General features: G+C 40.3%; 1 protein-coding gene across 3 annotated transcripts in view; it reads right to left on the bottom strand.

Annotated features, from left to right (window-relative positions):
- The window catches only part of SPESP1-NOX5 (SPESP1-NOX5 readthrough), a 132,238-nt gene that overhangs the window by 78,782 nt on the left and 35,241 nt on the right, over positions 1-18,215 (bottom strand). For 2 of the 3 annotated variants that reach the window (NR_033671.3, NR_033672.2), the window contains exon 2: positions 9,149-9,252. The exons of the other annotated variant lie outside the window; for it this stretch is intronic. The gene's annotated coding sequence lies outside the window, so the exon portion shown is untranslated. The remainder of the gene's footprint in view (positions 1-9,148; positions 9,253-18,215) is intronic. 3 annotated transcript variants of the gene reach the window in all.

Genomic DNA, 18,215 nt, shown 5'->3' with positions numbered 1-18,215 from the left:
TTGCTCTCTGGACAGGCAGCATCAGTGGGCTCCCTTGCTCTCAGGCAGTTAACCAGTGGGCACAGGAGATCAGAGAGATGGAGAGTGAGGCCAGGTACTTACACCCCTGGCTTCCCTCTGGAAGAATCATAGCTGGCTAGCTGCTCTTCTCTATCTAAGGGGGCAGCTCCTATTAGGCGGATCTATTAGTTGGTCCTCTCCACACAGTTCTGTCTCCAGGTTCTGGTAAAGGCTCCTTCTCCTCCCTCCATGTAGTTAAAGGAAGTAATGATATCTCTGCTGTTATTCACCATAAGATACCACACTCTTCTTTGTGGTATCCCTCTCCATAACTTTGTAAAAAGTATCTTTATTAACTCTCTTTAAATCGCCTAATTTGGGAAGGTCATCTGTTTTCCTAAGTTTTACAGAAAGTGGCCCCAAAGAACAGACCCTCAGAATGTGATTCTAGAATTGGATTGCTCACATATTTGAGAAGTGCAAGGATGTACACTCCTTGCCTGGGAGAAATGAGAAAGCAGTTAATCCATGGCATATGGTGGCATCATAAGTACTCAAGTTATTACTAGTAATGACACAGAGTAGATTAGAAGGTGTTGTTGGTACTCCATGCCATATCTTCTCAGCCCAGCTCTAATGTCAGCCACAGCTGTGCAGGACAGTCCCAGGCACACTGATGGCTTCCCATCTGAAACACTCACCATTCTTCGGCCTCAGAGCTTTCTCCAGAACCATAAGAACATGCTCAGCCTGCTGGAATGCACAGCCTCTTATTGCAAGGGAGTTTCCCCTCCACAAATGGGATAATTCCGAGGTACATAATTCATGATTTCTCAGGGTTATTAAACCTCAGTTCCCCACAGAGATAACAACTCAGAAATACTCCTTCACTTGCAGTCTTACTCTCCAAACTCTCTTATCACTGCTTTCTTGGATTATTGACTCTTCTATGGTTTGGATGAGATATAAGAGGCAGAGGAAGGGCCGGGCGCGGTGGCTCACGCCTGTAATCCCAGCACTTTGGGAGGCCGAGGCGAGTGGATCATGAGGTCAGGAGATCGAGACCATCCTGGCTAACAAGGTGAAACCCCGTCTCTACTAAAAATACAAAAAATTAGCCGGGCGCGGTGGCGGGCGCCTGTAGTCCCAGCTACTCGGGAGGCTGAGGCAGGAGAATGGCGTGAACCCGGGAAGCGGAGCTTGCAGTGAGCCGAGATTGCGCCGCTGCAGTCCGCAGTCCGGCCTGGGCGACAGAGCGAGACTCCGTCTCAAAAAAAAAAAAAAAAAAAGAGGCAGAGGAGGTACTGGGATGTGCAGTACCTTTATACTTGAATATAGGACCAGGACTAGGGTGAGACAAACAAGGTGCTGAGGTCACAACATTTGAGGAAGCACTCACTCTCAGGGTTGTGCAAGTGCAGGTTTGGCACTTGTGAGTATTTCCTTAAAACTTGCATGCTAGGTGCTCATTTGCCTCACCCTAGTCCTGGCCCTGCACGGTGATAAATTGAGTCCTTGCTCAAGTCTATCTCGCCGTGGTTCTAAAGGGTCCATAACATCCCCTTCTGGTGATTTCCCCAATGTTGAGTATATAATTGACATGGATTTTCTTAGCAACTCTTAGTCCTCACATTGTTTTCCTGACCTGGGGCATTAGCGTCATTATACAGGAAGGGCAAGCGAAAGCTCCTAAGTTAGCACCCTCCCTCAACAACCAAGATGGCAAATCAATAGAAATAATGAATCTTTGAGCATTTGCTGAGTCACTCTAGAAAATTTAAAGGATGTTGGGGTGATAATTCCCATCGCACCTCCCCATTCAATTCACTCGTATGGTTCCTGCAAAACATAAACAGATGGTGGAGGATAATGATGTACTACTGAAAACTTAACCAAGTGGTAGCTCCAATTACAGCTGCCATGCCAGCTGCTACATGTTTATTACAACAGATCTAATGTTTGGGCAAATGTAATTTTTAAAATCTCCATCAATAAAGAAGGACAAATGAAGATAATACATATGGAAAGGACAGAGATACAAATTTATCCTCTCACCCCAGGGCTATGTTAGCTCTCTTGTTCTCTGTTACAATATAGTCCACAGGGACTTTGATCATTTTTACATTGCACAGAATATTGTGCTCATCCACCATAATGATAAAACATCATATTAATTAGATATGGTGAACAAGAAGCAGAAAATTTTCAGGAATTGTGCTAGAGGGTAAGAGATAAACCTCACCAAGATGCAGGAGACGATCATATTCATGAATACCCTGGGCACAAAAAAGCTACATAAACAGGTGACCCAAACCTCCAAGCCTCCCCCATTCATTGCATCAACACCTTAGCTCAAACCTTGTAAATTTTCCCTATGACCAGATAAAGGAGGAAGAAAACACCTGGGTCTAATTCATGAATGGGTCAGGCTAGCATGCTGGCATGAGCCAATAAGGACTACTGCTGCTACTGCTGCAGAACATCTGTTGTGTCTAAAGTACAATATCGGGTGGTGCAGTGGGGAGGAGAAATCTTACAGGTGGAGCTTTAAGAACACTTAATCATCAATTTTATAAGGAGGGAGTAATAACCTGAAGTAAGGATATACATGGACTCCTGTGTAATGACAAATGAACTAAAAGGAGCAAGAGTAGAGACTAGGAGATGTGGGAAAGAGACATATAGATGACCTGTGAGGGTGGGCATAAGCTTGTGGAACTATGTCTGTCCATCAATGTCTACCTGAGAGTATCCACTTCAGAGGAGATACTGAAAAACCAGTGAATAAGATGGTACATCCAGTGGATGTCAGCTAGCCTCTGTCTTTGGCTACCTCAGTGCTTATAAAATGATTCCAAGAATGGAGTAAACCATAGTGGCAGGGGTGAGACCATGTTTTAGCCCAAAAACATAAGCTTTCTCTTACCAAAGTTGATCTAATTATTGCCACTACTGACTGAGTGATTATAGAGCTACATAGACTGGACCTGAGCCACCAGTAGGGTGCCATCTCTTGAATAGAGCAGCCAGCTAATCACATGAAACCCCTCCATCATGCAGGAAGCAGTGATTCATCCCTCCTGGGACTGGCATCTTCTTTGGATATGGGTTTTTCTTCTCTATCCATTGTATTTTTTTTCTTCTCTATGCAATGTATCCACTGTATCCATTTTTGTTTTCTATCCAGCATTACCATCTGAGGGCTTACACATGCCTGCTTTATAAAAGGGTATCCTATATAACATCACCCTGGACTAAGGTACCCATTTTATGATAAAGGAGGTGTGACAATGGACACATGACCTTGGGATCCACTGGTCCTAATACATCCCTGGAAGCAGCTGAATTCATTAACTTGAGTGCACTCACTCAAGTTCAGGAATTAATATGATGGCTTAAGCACTGGAGAGGGGCACAAATAGTCTGCGAGATTCTCTAAATGAAGCCTGAACTCGACAGTGACCAATGCTGTCCTTAGACCTGCTCCTCTCCCAGGCCCTTCCTCATGGAGCAGTGCCACCATGCTCCATAGTGGAATTCCAAAGTTTCTCTGAGAATCCTAAGTATGAACATTCTAAACTGTAACATTTTTCAAGGTAGAAGGACAAAACATTTTATTTGTTTTTTATCCTGATTTACAAATATATGTATGTGACCCTCCATTTGTACCCTTTTCCTGGTCACCACAAATGTTAGGAGCAAGCTTAATACTGGTCTATGGGTAATGACAAGATTCCTGGCACATGGAAAGGGTCCAAAGATTCAGAGATAGGAAAAATTCCCCTAGGATACATAAAAGATCCAAAGATTCACAAGGATCTGTTTTGTGCAATCTGCTTAGCATCCCTTCTTCATCAACCATATTCCTTGGGATGGCCTGGAAGACACTCCCTTCACCAAGGTACCTTGAAGAGGGAGATGCCAGCATCCTTGAATAGTTTTGCTTTGGTTGTGCTCTCCAAGGTGATGACACTAGTGAGAGATTACGAAATTACATTCTTTGCTCACAGTGGGTATAGTGAGATTCTGAAGTAGCAGAGGCCAGATGGCAGTGCTCTACTATCACAGACCAAGTGGGCACAATTATCACAATAAGTACAGGGATGGGGTGGTAAACAAAGGGCTTTGGCCTGCACAGATCTGTGGCAATGGCTAATTAATTGCTGGATCCTAAAATGTGACCCAGTAAGCAGTCTACTAAAAGGTTGCTTAACATGTGCATGCAGGAAAATTCTGGGTCTGGGGGAACAGAAATCTTACTTGAATATGATGATTTATATCCTCTTACTCAGGTCCTAGACCTAAGCTAGTCCACAGATCACAAGTTCTTTGGCCAAAAAACAGACCAGGTCTTTTTGAGGAAGGACTCTGCAACAAGATTGTGTGAATCTCCCCTAGGTCTTCTCCAGAGTCATTTAACAGAGTGACTGAGCACTGAGCACTATGGAAAAGAGAATACCCATATCTTCTAAGGGTTGTTAGAGACTGTTCCTGAGTGATGCTAATCCACAGATACCTAAAATGCCACTGCCTGTCAAGAGTGGGTCTTAAGTATAGCTAGGGAGGTTTAAATGGAAGCCTCTATAATTGCAACTCCCACTGAGATAGTAAACTAACAGCAACACCACATCGCTGGAATTGCAGAGATTAGTGCCACCATCACAGACCTGAAAGATGCAGGCACAGTGGTTCCCATTGCATCCCCAAATGCAATGATGGTTTTTATCTTTGGCTGGTGCAAAAAGCCTGATGAATTGTGGAAGATAACAGCAGATCTTCACACACAATCAGATGGTGATGTCACTTGCAGAAATTCCAGATGGTATCTTTACTGGAGCAGATGAACACAGCCCCTAGCTCCCTAGCTGTGTTGATGAAACAAATGGATTTTCCCTCTTCTCCGTTAGTTAAAGAAAAAAATGAGAAGCAGTTCACCTTCACGTAGCAGGGACTATAGAACATTATAATACTATGGTCCAGAAGTATCCTGATCATCTTGATATCCCAAAGGACATCATGCAGGTCCACTGCTTTGGTGACAGAATGCCTATTGGACTTGCGAGTGGAACGTAGCAAGCACCCTAGATGCCTTATGACACGTCAGCCAGCAGTTGGAAATAATTCCTCCAAAGCTCAGTGGCCAATCACATCAATGAAGTTCCAAGGAGTTCAAGGGTCTGGTGTATATTGGAATATCTTGTTTAAAGTAAGACACAATTTTCCTGCCACCATAAAGGGGAAAGCACAAAGCAGGGTGGCCTCTTTGCATCTTGAAGGCAACCCATGTGACAGTTGGACATGCTGCTACAATCTATTTAGTGGGTTAAAGTAAGGCTTTTCCATGACATGATTGCCTATGAAGAAAATTCTGAGAAATAAACCTCCAAAATCCTCTTAGAACTAATAAGCAAGTGTAGTAAGGTCAAAGGATATAAGACCAACACACAATAATCAATTCCATTTCTATATACTAACAATGAACAGGAAAACAAATATTAAAAACTCAGTACTATTTACAATCACTCCAAAGATAATGAAATACTTAGGTACAGGATTGTATGATGAAAATTACAAATTGCTGATGAAAAAAACAAAGACATGCAAGTACTTGGGGAGACATACTGTGTTCATGGATTGGAAGACTTACCTAGTGAAGATGCCAGTTCCCCCCAGATTGATCTATATATTTAACACAATTCCTATCAAAATTTCAGCAAGGTTGTTTTTGTAGACATAGACAAGCTTATTCTAAAACTTATGTGGAAGGGACTGACTCTAGAATTTGTTGCGGGACATCAGGGACCCTGAATGGAGGGACTGGCTGAAGCCGTGGCAGAAGAACATAAATTGTGAAGATTTCATGGACATTTATTAGTTCCCCAAACTAATACTTTTATAATTTCTTACACCTATCTTTACTGCAATCTCTGAACATAAATTGTGAAGATTTAATGGACATTTATCACTTCCCCAATCAATATTCTTGTGATTTCCTATGCCTGTCTTTACTTTAATCTCTTAATCTCATCATCTTCATAAGCTGAGGATGTATGTCGCCTCAGCACCCTGTGATGATTGCATTAACTGCACAAATTGTTTAAACAATATGAAATCTGGGCGCCTTGAAAAAAGAACAGGATAATAGTGATGTTCAGGGAACAAGAGAGATAACCATTAGATCTGGCTGCCTGAGAGCCAGGTGGAACAGAGCCATATTTCTCTTCTTTCAAAAGCAAATAGGAGAAATATCGCTGAATTCTTTTTCTCAGCAAGGAACAGCCCTGAGAGAGGGAATGTGTTCCTAGGGGTAGGTCTCTGAAATGGCCGCTCTGGGAACGTCTGTCTTCTACGCTTGCAGATAAGGGATGAAATAAGCCCCAGTCTCCCATAGCACGCCCCGGTCTCCAGTAGCGCTCCCAGGCCTATCAGGACGAGGAAATTCCCACCTAATAAATTTTGGTCAGACCGGTTGTCTGCTTTCAAACCCTGTCTCCTGATAAGATGTTACCAAAGACAATGCATACCCAAAACTTCATTAGCAATTTTAATTTCGCCCCGGTCCTGTGATCTTACCCTGCTTCCATTTGCCTTGTAATATTTTATTACCTTGTGAAGCATGTGAGCTCTGTGACCCACACCCTATTCGTACACTCCCTCCCCTTTGAAAATCACTAATAAAAACTTTCTGGTTTTGCAGATTGGGGGACATCATGGAACCTGCCAACATGTGGTGTCTCCTCTGGATACCCAGCTTTAAAATTTCTCTCTTTTGTACTCTTTCCCTTTATTTCTCAGACCAGCTGACACTTAAGGAAATAGAAAAGAACCTACGTGAAATAACGTTGAATTATCAGGGGTGGGTTCCCCTGATAAGAATTGTCAAAACTATTTTGAAAAGAAGAATAGGGTGGGAGGAATCACTTCTCCCTGTGTCAAGGCTTACTATGTAAGTATAGTGATCAAGAGTGGTACTTGGAGAAGGATAGTTGCATAGACCAATGAAGAACCTAGACATAGGTGTACAGAAATGTACCAAATTAATCTTTAGCAAAATAGCAATAGCATTTCAAATGAAGAAGGAGAGCCTTTTTAATAAATGATGCTGAAGCAACTGGACATCCATGTTGGGGGAAAACAAAAACTTTGATAAAATCCTATACATTACACAAATGAACTCATAATGAATCATGGACCTAAATGGAAAATGTAAAACTCTAAAAGAACTAGGCAGAGAGTTCTTAGACTTAACACCAAAAACACATCTATAAAAGAAAAAAATTGAAAAATTGGACTTCATCAAAATGTAAAGCAATATTTAAAACCCTATTAAGATAATGAAAAGACAATTATGGGCTGGAAAAAAATTTCAAAATCTCATATTTGACCAAAAATTTGCGCCTAAAAATATATTAAAAACTTTCAAAATTCAACATTAAAAAAAAAAAACAATCCAAGTGACACTTCACCAAAGAGGACACAAAGGGGTAAAATAAACACATGAAAAGATGTCCATGGCCGGGCACAGTGGTTCACACCTGTAATCCCACCACTTTGGAAAACCAAGGTGAGAGATCACTTGAGCCTAGGAGTTTGAGACCAGCCTGGGCAACATAGCAAAACCCCATCTCTATAAAAAATACAATTAGCTGGGTATGGTGGCATGCACCTATAATCCTAGCTCCTCAGGAAGCTGAGGTGGGATCACCTTAGCCCGGGAAGTTGAGGCTGCAGTGAGCCATGGTCACATTGACAGGTGACAGCGTGCTGGCAGCCCTCGCAGCCCTCGCTCGCTCTTGGAGCCTCCTCTGCCTGGGCTCCCACTTTGGCGGCACTTGAGGAGCGCTTCAGCCCACCGCTGCACTGTGGGAGCCCCTTTCTGGGCTGGCCAAGGCCAGAGCTGGCTCCCTCAACTTGCAGGGAGGTGTGGAGGGAGAGGCACGAGCAGGAACCGGGGCTGCGGCAGCGCTTGTGGGCCAGCTGGAGTTCTGGGTGGGCATGGGCTTGGCGGGCCCCACACTCGGAGCGGCCAGCCAGCCCTGCCGGTCCCAGGCAGTGAGGGGTTTAGCACCCGGGCCAGTGGCTGCGGAGGGTGTGCTGGGTCCCCCAGCAGTGCTGGCCCACTGGTGCTGCACTCGATTTCTCGCCAGGCCTTAGCTGCCTCCCCGTGGGGCAGGGCTCGGGACCTGCAACCCACCATGCCTGAGCTTCCCCCACACACCATGGGTTCCTGCATGGCCCGAGCCTCCCCAACGAGCGCCGTCCCCTACTCCACGGCGCCCAGTCCCATAGACCACCCAAGGGCTGAGGAGTGCGGGCGCATGGCACGGGACTGGCAGGCAGCTCCACCTGCAGCCCCGGTGCGGGGTCCACTGGGTGGAGACAGCTGGGCTCCTGAGTCTGGTGGCGACTCGGAGAACCTTTATGTCTAGATAAGGGATGGTAAATACACCAATCGGCACTCTGTAACTAGCTCAAGGTTTGTAAACACACCAATCAGCACCCTGTGTCTAGCTCAGGGTTTGTGAATGCACCAATCAACACTCTGTATCTAGCTACTCTGGTGGGCACATGGAGAACTTTTGTGTCGACACTCTGTGTCTAGCTAATCTAGTGGGGACGTGGAGAACTTTTGTGTCTAGCTCAGGGATTGTAAATACACCAATCAGCACCCTGTCAAAACAGACCAATCAGTGCTCTGTAAAATGGACCAATCAGCTCTCTGTAAAATGGACCAATCAGCAGGATGTGGGTGTGGCCCAATAAGAGAATAAAAGCAGGCTGCCTGAGCCAGCAGTGGCAACCTGCTCAGGTCCCCTTCCACACTGTGGAAGCTTTGTTCTTTCACTCTTTGCAATAAATCTTGCTGCTGCTCCCTCTTTGGGTCCACACTGCCTTTATGAGCTGTAACACTCACCGCAAAGGTCTGCAGCTTCACTCCTGAAGCCAGTGAGACCACGAACCCACCAGGAGGAATGAACAACTCCAGATGCGCCGCCCAAAGAGCTGTAACACTCACCACGAAGGTGTGTAACTTCACTCCTGAGCCAGCGAGACCACAAACCCACCAGAAAGAAGAAACTCCGAGCACATCCGAACGTCAGAAGGAACAAATCCTGGACACGCCACCTTTAAGAACTGTAACACTCACCACGAGGGTCTGCGGCTTCATTCTTGAAGTCAGTGAGACCAAGAACCCACCAATTCCAGATACAACATGACTGCATACCAGCCTGGGCGCAATGGATTGAGACCCTGTCTCAAAGAAAAAAGAAAAGATGTTTATTGTCATTAGGCAAGAGGGAAATGGAAATTAAGACCACAATGAGCTATCACTACACACACAGCAGAATGACTAAAATAGAAATAGTGGCAGCAAATGCTGGCCAGGAGGTAGAGAAACTGATCACTTATACACTGTTGGTGGGAATGTAAAATGGTATAGCCCCTCTGGAAAATAGTTTGGTAGTAGTTTCTTATGAAACTAAACATGCAACTACAGTACAACCCAACAATTGCAGTCTTGGGCATTTACCTCAGAGAAATGAAAAAACATTTATATTCACACAAAAACCTGCACCCAAATGTTCATAGCAGTTTTATTTGTAATAGCTCAATCCTGGAAACTACCCAAATGTTGTTCAACTAAAGAATGGTTAAACAAACTGGTGAATCCATACTGTGGAATACTACTCAACAACAAAAAGAAACAAACTGTTGATACATGCAACAATTTGGATGAATCCCAAGGAAATTATGCTGAGTGAAAAAAAAAAAAAAGCCAACCTCAAGAGGATACATACTGTATGGCTCCATTTACACAGCATTTGTGAAATAATAAAATTATAAAGATAACAGATTTGTAGTTGCAAGGGTTAGGGATATGGGAGGGGAGAAGGTAGATATGGCTGTAAAGAGGTATTACGAGGGAATCTTGCAGTGATAACAGAGTTAAGCATCTTGATTGTGGTAATGGTTACATGAAGCTACACATGTGATAGAAATACATAGAGCTATACATCCCACCCTCATACACACATAGAGACACACAATCAAATGAGTACTCAAATAATGGGTGAAATCTGCATAAGCTCTGTGGATTGTACCAATGTCGATTTCTTAACTTGATATTGTACTATAGTTACACCAGATGTCAACATTGGGGGAGGTTGGAGGAAAGATGCACAGAACTTCTCTGTACATTTCTTTGCAACTTCATGCAAACCTATAATTACTTTAAAATTTAAAAATAAAAGTAATGTTGGCCGGGCAGGGTGGCTCATGCCTGTAATCCCAGCACTTTGGGAGGCCGAGGTGGGTGGATCATGAGGTCGGAAGATTGAGACCATCCTGGCTAACATGGTGAAACCCTGTCTCTACTAAAAATACAAAAAATTAGCCGGGCGTAGTGGCAGGTGCCTGTAGTCCCAGCTACTCTGGAGGCTGAGGCAGGAGAATGGCATGAACCCGGGAGGCGGAGCTTGCAGTGAGCCGAGATTGCACCATTGCACTGCAGCTTGGGCGACAGAGTGAGGCGCCATCTCAAAAATAAATAAATAAATACATACATACATAAAAGTAATGTTGCCCATTTTGAATAAGCAAGGATTCTGTCGCAGGTCCAGGGTACTGTACAAGCTGCCCTAACTCTTGTACCTTAGGACTCAGTGGATCCGATGATATTGGAAGAGTCTGTGGTGGCAGAGATGCTACACAGAGGTTGGCAAACACAGTAAGAAGCACTCAGCAGACCACACAAACTTCGAAGTAAAGCCACACCATCCTCTGCCCACACTTTCCTCCATTGGAAGGGCAGAGCCTGGCCTGTGACAGGCCCTGGCAGTGACTAAAGGCTTGACCATGAACCATCCACAACGAACTGATTATGATCCAAAAAGCATAAAACTGGATAAGGATAGCAGTGTCCCCCGACAAAATGGAAACAATTTACATTAGACCCAGCCCAAGCAGGTCTGAAATGCCTAAGGAAATTCCATGAGCAGGTGGCTCAGCCTCCCCTATGGCCCTGCCTCTGTCTTTGCTGGGGAGTTCCCTAAGATCACTAATGAAGGAAGAAAAACACAGTTCTTCTTTACAGCTCTGTATACCGGCACCAGCCAGAAGTAGGCAGCCACTGTCCTGTTGTGGGTTGAACTGTGTCCCTCAAAAGAGATATTGCAGATTCCTAAACCCCAGTGCCTCAGAATGTGACCTTATTTGGAGATAGGATCTTTACAGAGATAAACAAGTTAAAATTGGGTCGTTAGAGTGGGCCCTAATCCAAAATGACTGGTGTCCTTATGAAAAGGGGAAATTTGGACACACACACACACACAGGGAGGATGCCATGTGAAGATGAAGGCAGAGATCAGGGTGATGTTTCTATAAACCAAGGAATGCCAAAGCTTGCCAGCAACCCCCAAGAAGCTAGCACAGAGGAGCTCAGGAAGAGGCATGGAACAGATCCTTCCTTCATAGCCCTCAGAAGAGATCAACCCTGCCCACACCTTCATTTTGGACTTCCTGTCTCCAGAACTGTGAAATAATACCTTGCTGTTATCTAAGCCACCCAGTTTGTGGTACGTTATTATGGCAGCCTTAGAAGACTACCACAAATCCTCCTCCCAGGTGGCTCTGAAAGGCAGTGGTGAAGAGAAATTCTCTCAGTGGGCAGAACTCTGAGCAGTACACATGGTTATCCATGTTGTGAGGAAGGAGAGATGGCCTGAGGTCTGGCTCTATACCTAATCATGAGCAGTGACTAACAGATAGGAATGGTTTTATAAAAAAAATTTTTAAGAGAACTCTACCAAAGATAAAAACCCATTTGCTTTTAATTTCATACGTAACTCTCACTCTGTTATCTGGGTTTCCTAGCCCAGCCCATTTTTGAAACAGACAACAGAGAGGTAATTGGAGGTAGACGCATTACATGATGGGGAGAAAACATAAATAAGAATATTAACAAATACTCCCCAAAAGTACAGCATACTGGAACCGCTTAGCATGGTTGTAAAAAGCCTTTACATCTTACTAGCTTCAGGTACTATTATTAGCTCTCCAGGTACCATTATAATCCCACACAACACATTGTTTAAAATGATGACAAGGTCCTGAGTCAAGGAAAGATCAACTTCTGTTCAGAATACTTTTTTATTAAGGCAGAGAAAGTGTTCAATATACTTTGCTTAAGAGTAAAATGTCCTCAAAAATGCCAAAATAAAAGTATGTACTTAAAGGCATAAAATTTGGTTATCTGGAAAATTAATTTTTTATGAAATAGTCCAAAAAGTCCAACATTTAGGCATAACTTTTTAGTTTTGCCATGAAATTACAGATAAATTTAGCTATCTAAAATAATAAGCTGAGATACAGATGAATTAACATTTCATACTGTTTATATATTGTTCTGAATTATCTTACTGTTCTAATTTTGAAATTGCTATTTTAATCAGGAATTTAAATTGAAAAATCAGAATACTATTAGAGATTCAACAATATTCTTTTAACTCTATTCTGGATAAGTTTTGCTATAATGCCTGCTAATATGTATATGAAACTAATTACAGTTATTCTATCTAAAAGAATTAGTCACTATCATTATCTATGAGTGAAAGTTTAAAAGGATGATCATATGTACAAAGGTCAACAGTGAAAATGCAAAAATGAAATGAGTTGTTTTCTCTGCATTTTAAAAAAATTTCTATTCTGCTATATTGTGGCCATTATTAAATATTAAAATATGTTTAGGAGTCTTAAACCTTATTCTTATGGTCAGGGGTGGTAGATTTATAATAATGGAAAGGTTAAATATAACCTAATTAGAAAATAACTTGGAAAAGCATATTAAAGATCATGATTTAACCCTTCTCCAGGAGTTTAATCCTAAGAAATTATTTTTTAAAAGAAGTCAGACTGTTAAAAATGATCCATACAGTTGTATTATTTTTAAAACTAGGAAAACCTAATTTCTAATAATTAGGGATTGGTGCAGTATATAATAACATGTAAACTCAATGGAGTATTATGTAAACATTAAAAATGATTAAGTAGTGACAAAATAATGTGTACTTGATGGAAAGGCAGCATTGCAATATAAGCAGTATAATTTGATTTGCAATAATGTATCCATATAAGCAAGGACTAAAATAAACTAAAGAGAAATATTTCTATTGAGGCAAGGGGATGATTGTAAATTTTTCCTTATATTATGTTTATACTATGAATAAAAATTGGGGAAGGGAAAACCCATTGTAGGAAAATAAGGGAGTTTAAAATTAGATGGCAGAAACAGTAATAGACTGGAAATCAGAAACTGTAGATTATCATGTTGTCTCTACCATCACTTAGGATTGTGTCTTTGGACATGTTATTTTATTTCTTTGAACATCCCCTTGCCTCATATTTTTTCATCTTTTTTTCACTTTCAACCTATTTGTGTCTTTGGATCTAAAGTGAACCTCTTTTAGATACCATATAGTTTAGTCCTGTTTAGTTGTATTCATTCATTCTACAAACCTCTGCTTTGTGGTTGGAGAATTTAACTCATTTACATGTAAATTAATTACTGATAAAGAAGGATTTACTTCTGCCTCTTTTTTTGTTTGTTTTCTGTATGCTTTATATACCTTTGTCTCTCATTTCCTCTATTCCTGTCTCATTTTGTGTTTAGCTGATTTTTTTGTAGTGAACAATATTGATTCCTGTCTCATTTCCTTTTGTGTATACTTTCTGGATATTTTCTTAGTGGCTATAAGAGGGATAATACTTAACATCTTAAATTTGTAGCAATCTTGTTTGAATTGATACCAACTTAACTTCAATAACATACAAAAACCCTGCTCCTATACAGCTCTGTCTCTGTCCCTTTATGTTGTTGTTGTCACAAATTATATCTTTATACGTTGTGTAACTAATAACTGATTTTAAATGCATTTGTCTTTTATTATGTAAGAAATAAAAATAGAGTTAGAAACTAAAAATAAAATAATGCTGACTTTTATATCTACCTATACAGTTACCCTTACTACAGATCAACATGTTTTCCATACAGCTTTGAGTTACTGTCTAGTGTCCTTTTATTTCAGCTGGAAGAATTCCCAGTATTTCTTATAACTCAGGTCTACTGGTAAACTCCCTCAGGTTTTGTTTATCAGTGAATGTCTTAATTTCTCCTTTACTTTCAAAGAATAGTTCTGTTGAATATAAAATTATAGGTGCAGTTTTTGTTTACTTTCAGCATTTAAATATGTCAGCCCATTGCCTTCTGGCTCCATGTTTTCTGAGGAGAAATACCTGATAACCTTAGTTAGAATCCCTTGTATATAATGAGTCACTTCTCCCTTGCTGCTTTTAAGATTTTCTCTTTGTCTTTTCCTTTCAACAATTGGATTATAACATGTCTCAGTGCAGATCTCTTTGAGTTTATCTTGGTTAGAGTTATTGAGCTTCTAGGACATGAAGATTCATGTCTTTCATCAAATTCTGGGCACCTGCAGATATTATTTTTTCAAATAGTCTACCTACTTCTCTTATATGCTGGGACTCCAAAAATACATATGTTGGTACACTTAATGATGTCCCATGGGTCCCTTAGGCTCTGTTCACCTCTTCTTTTTTTCCTTTCTACTCTCCTCAGACTTGGGTGATGTCAGTAATCCTATCTTCAAGTTCACTGATTCATTCTTCTGCCTAATTAAATCTGCCTAATCAAATTGAATCTTTCTAGTGAGTATACTATTTGTTATTGCACTTTTCAGCTCCAGAATTTCTATTTGGTTTCTTTTTGTAATTTCTATCTCTTTGCTGATATTCTCATTTTGTTCTTACTTAATAGTTTCCTTTAGTTCTTTGTCCATGGTTTCCTTTCATTCTTAGAGCATATTCAAGACAGTCGACAAAAATTCTTTGTCTAGTAAATCCAATGCCTGGACTTACTATTTCTTTGTATGTCTTTTGGTTTTTGTTGAAAACTCAACATTTGACTATTATCATGTGGTAACTATGGAAATCAGATATTTCCTTTCCCAGAGTTTGTCATTTTTTTATTGTTGAAGGCTGAAGTCAGCCATTGTTTAGTGACTTTTCCAGATTATTTTTGCAAAGACTGTATTCCTTGTCATATTTAGTGACTAAAGTCTATGTTTCTTTAGCTTGTGTTTAACTAGTGTTTTGACACAGATTTTCTTAAGTGCCAGTAGCTAAAAACAAACAAATAAATTTAAAAACCACTTCTATTCTTTGCAGATTATCTCTGTGCAGTGGCACTCCTTCAACACTTAGCCAGGCTGTTTACAACTCTGCCGTAGCCTTCACTTCTTGCTTGTACTGAACCTAGAGATCAGTCAGAGTGAAAGCTTAGGGTCCTCTCAGGTCTTTTCTGAGCATGTGTATGTTTTTCTAGATTCATCAAAATACACAGGCATTTTTGAAAGTCCTAATTTTTCAAAGACATTCTTCCTATCTTTTCCTCCCAGGCTTTAGGTGGCCTATTTTGTCTTTTGCCCCAGGTTGCTGTATGGTTTTCATTTGTCTTACAATGTTTTTGACAGTGCCTACTGCTTTTCCACCTGATGAGTTCTGAGTTAAGTATAACACACAAGGGCACCTCATATCAGTCATTCAGTGAGTCCTTACATAGGTTAGAATAGGCAAACACAATAATGTGTGAATAAGGTCTTCTGTGCTCCCTCTGGAATCAGGAAACAGGGTCCCTCACTGGCAATGTGAACTGCCATCTTCAAGACCATGGCTGAGCTAGGGAGGGGCTGAAGCAGGGAAAAGTTAAAACACCACAAAACCTCCCCACCATTTAAAAGTTGCCTTTTTCCTGATTCAGCACTTTTACTTATTTGCTATAAAATTTTGTTTTCCAGAATTCTGATACAGTTGGCTCTGACAGTTTCTGCTTGTATTGTTGTTTCTGTGCAGTGAAGAGACCTTGCCATTTTGTTGATCAATCATATTATTTTTAATATTAAGAAGATCAAGATATTTTTCCTTCTGTTTTGGATTATATGAATTCAAAAATTTTTAAATATTTTGTAAATGTTAATGATCAATACTCTTCTAATGCAAATAGATTAAAATAAAAGGCTCAGAAAATATGACAACTGAAAAGGACCTGAGAAACTATCTAACTCGACCAAGCAGAAAAAAAGAATTTCAGAGCTCAAAGAACAGGCTTTCAAATTAAAAGAATTTTAAAAATAAATGAAGTCTTCAAGAAATATGGAATTATGTAAAACAACCAAACCTATGACTTACAGGCATTTCTGAAAGAAAAGAAGAAAAAGTAAGCAACTTGGAAAACAAATTTGAAGGAATAATTCAGGAAAATTTCCCTACTCTTGATAGAGAGGTAGACATCCAGATGTAAGAAATTCAGAGAACACCTGCAAGATACCATAAAAGATGAAAATCACCAAGGCCAAGGTCAACATTAAATAAAAAATTTTAAAGGCAGCTAGAGAAAAGGGCCAAATATGGTGTCATTGCAAGATTAACCCTGAATGTAAACAGCCTAAATTCTCCACTTAAAAGATACAGATTGGCAAATTGGATGAAAAAACAAGAGCCAATCGTCTGCTGCCTCCAGGACACCCAACTAGTGTGTAATGACACTCACATTTGGTCCTTTGCCCTAGCTGCCTTTAACAGACTAACTGTGGACTTCTCCACAGAAGCCGTACAAGCAGAAAAGATTGGGAGCCTATTTTTAGCCTTTTAAAAGAAAACAAATGCCAGCCAAAAATGTAATATCCTGTCAAACTAAACTTTATAAACAAAGAAGAAATTATTTCCCAGATAATCAAATGCTAAGGAAATTCTTCACCACCAGACCGGATTTACAAGATATGCTCAAGGGCATTCTAAACGTGGAAACAGAAGGACAATACTGGCTACCGTAAAAGCACATATAAGTACAAAGTTCATAGAACCTATAAAGCAATTACAAAATTAAGACTACAAAACGATAACAACACCATGACAGTAACAAAATCTCACACATTGATATTAAGATTGAATGTAAACAACCTATAAATGCTCCACTTAAAAGATACAGATTGGCAAATTGGATGAAAAAACAACACCTAATCATTTGCTGCCTGCAAGAGATCCACCTAAAGTGTAATGACATCCACAGGCTCAAAGTAAAAGGGTGGAAGAAGACATATCATGGAAATGGAAAACAAAAGCACAGGAGTTGCTAGTCTTGTATCAGATAAAATCAGCTTTAAACCAACAGTTAAAAATATGCAAAAGAACATTACATAATGATAAAGGTTCAATTCAACAAGAAAATTTAACTATCCTAAATGTGTATGCACCCAACACTGGAGCATGCAGATTTATAAAACAAATACTACTAGACCTAAGAAATGAGATAGACAGCCATACAATAATAGTGGGTGACTTCAACATCCCACTGACAGATCACTGAGGCAGAAAACTAACAAACTCTGGACTTAAATTGGACTCTTGAGGAAATAGACCTAATAGACATTTACAGAACATCCCACTCAACAACTGCAGAATATACATTTTTCTCATTTGTGCACAAAACATTCTCTAAAATTTGCCATATGCTTGGTCATTAAAAAAAGTCTCAATAATTTTTGAAAAATCAAAATTATATTAAGCACCTTCTCAGACCACAGTGGAATAAAATTAGAAATCAATACCAAGAAGAACTCTCAAAACCACATGGGTACATAAAAACTAAACAACTTGTTCCTGAACAACTTCTAGCTAAACAATGAAATTAAGGCAGAAATAAACATTTTTTTTTGGAAACAAGTGAAAACAGAGACACAACATACCAAAACCTCTGGGATACAGCAAAAAAAAAGAGAAGAAAGTGTTAAGAGGGAAGTTTATAGTGCCAAATGCCTACATCAAAAAGACAAAAAGACTTCAAATTAACAACTTAATGTTGCACTTCAAGGAAGTAGAAAAATAGGAACAAACCAAACCCCAAGCCAGCAGAAGAAATCACAAAGATAAGAGCAGAACTAAATGAAACTGACACAAAAAATATCATATAAAAGGTCAATAAAATGAACAGTTGATTCTTTGAAAGAATAAACAAAATTGATAGACCACTAGCTACATTAACCAAGAAATCAGGAAAGAAGATCCAAATAAGCACAGTCAGAAATTGCAAAGATGACATTATAACTGAAACCACAGAAATACTAAAGATCCTCAGAGACTCC

Source organism: Homo sapiens, chromosome 15 (assembly GCF_000001405.40).
Source record: "Homo sapiens chromosome 15, GRCh38.p14 Primary Assembly".
Lineage (NCBI taxonomy): Eukaryota > Metazoa > Chordata > Mammalia > Primates > Hominidae > Homo > Homo sapiens.
Note: the sequence above shows the minus strand (reverse complement) of the source record. Positions and strands in the feature narration are given on the sequence as shown.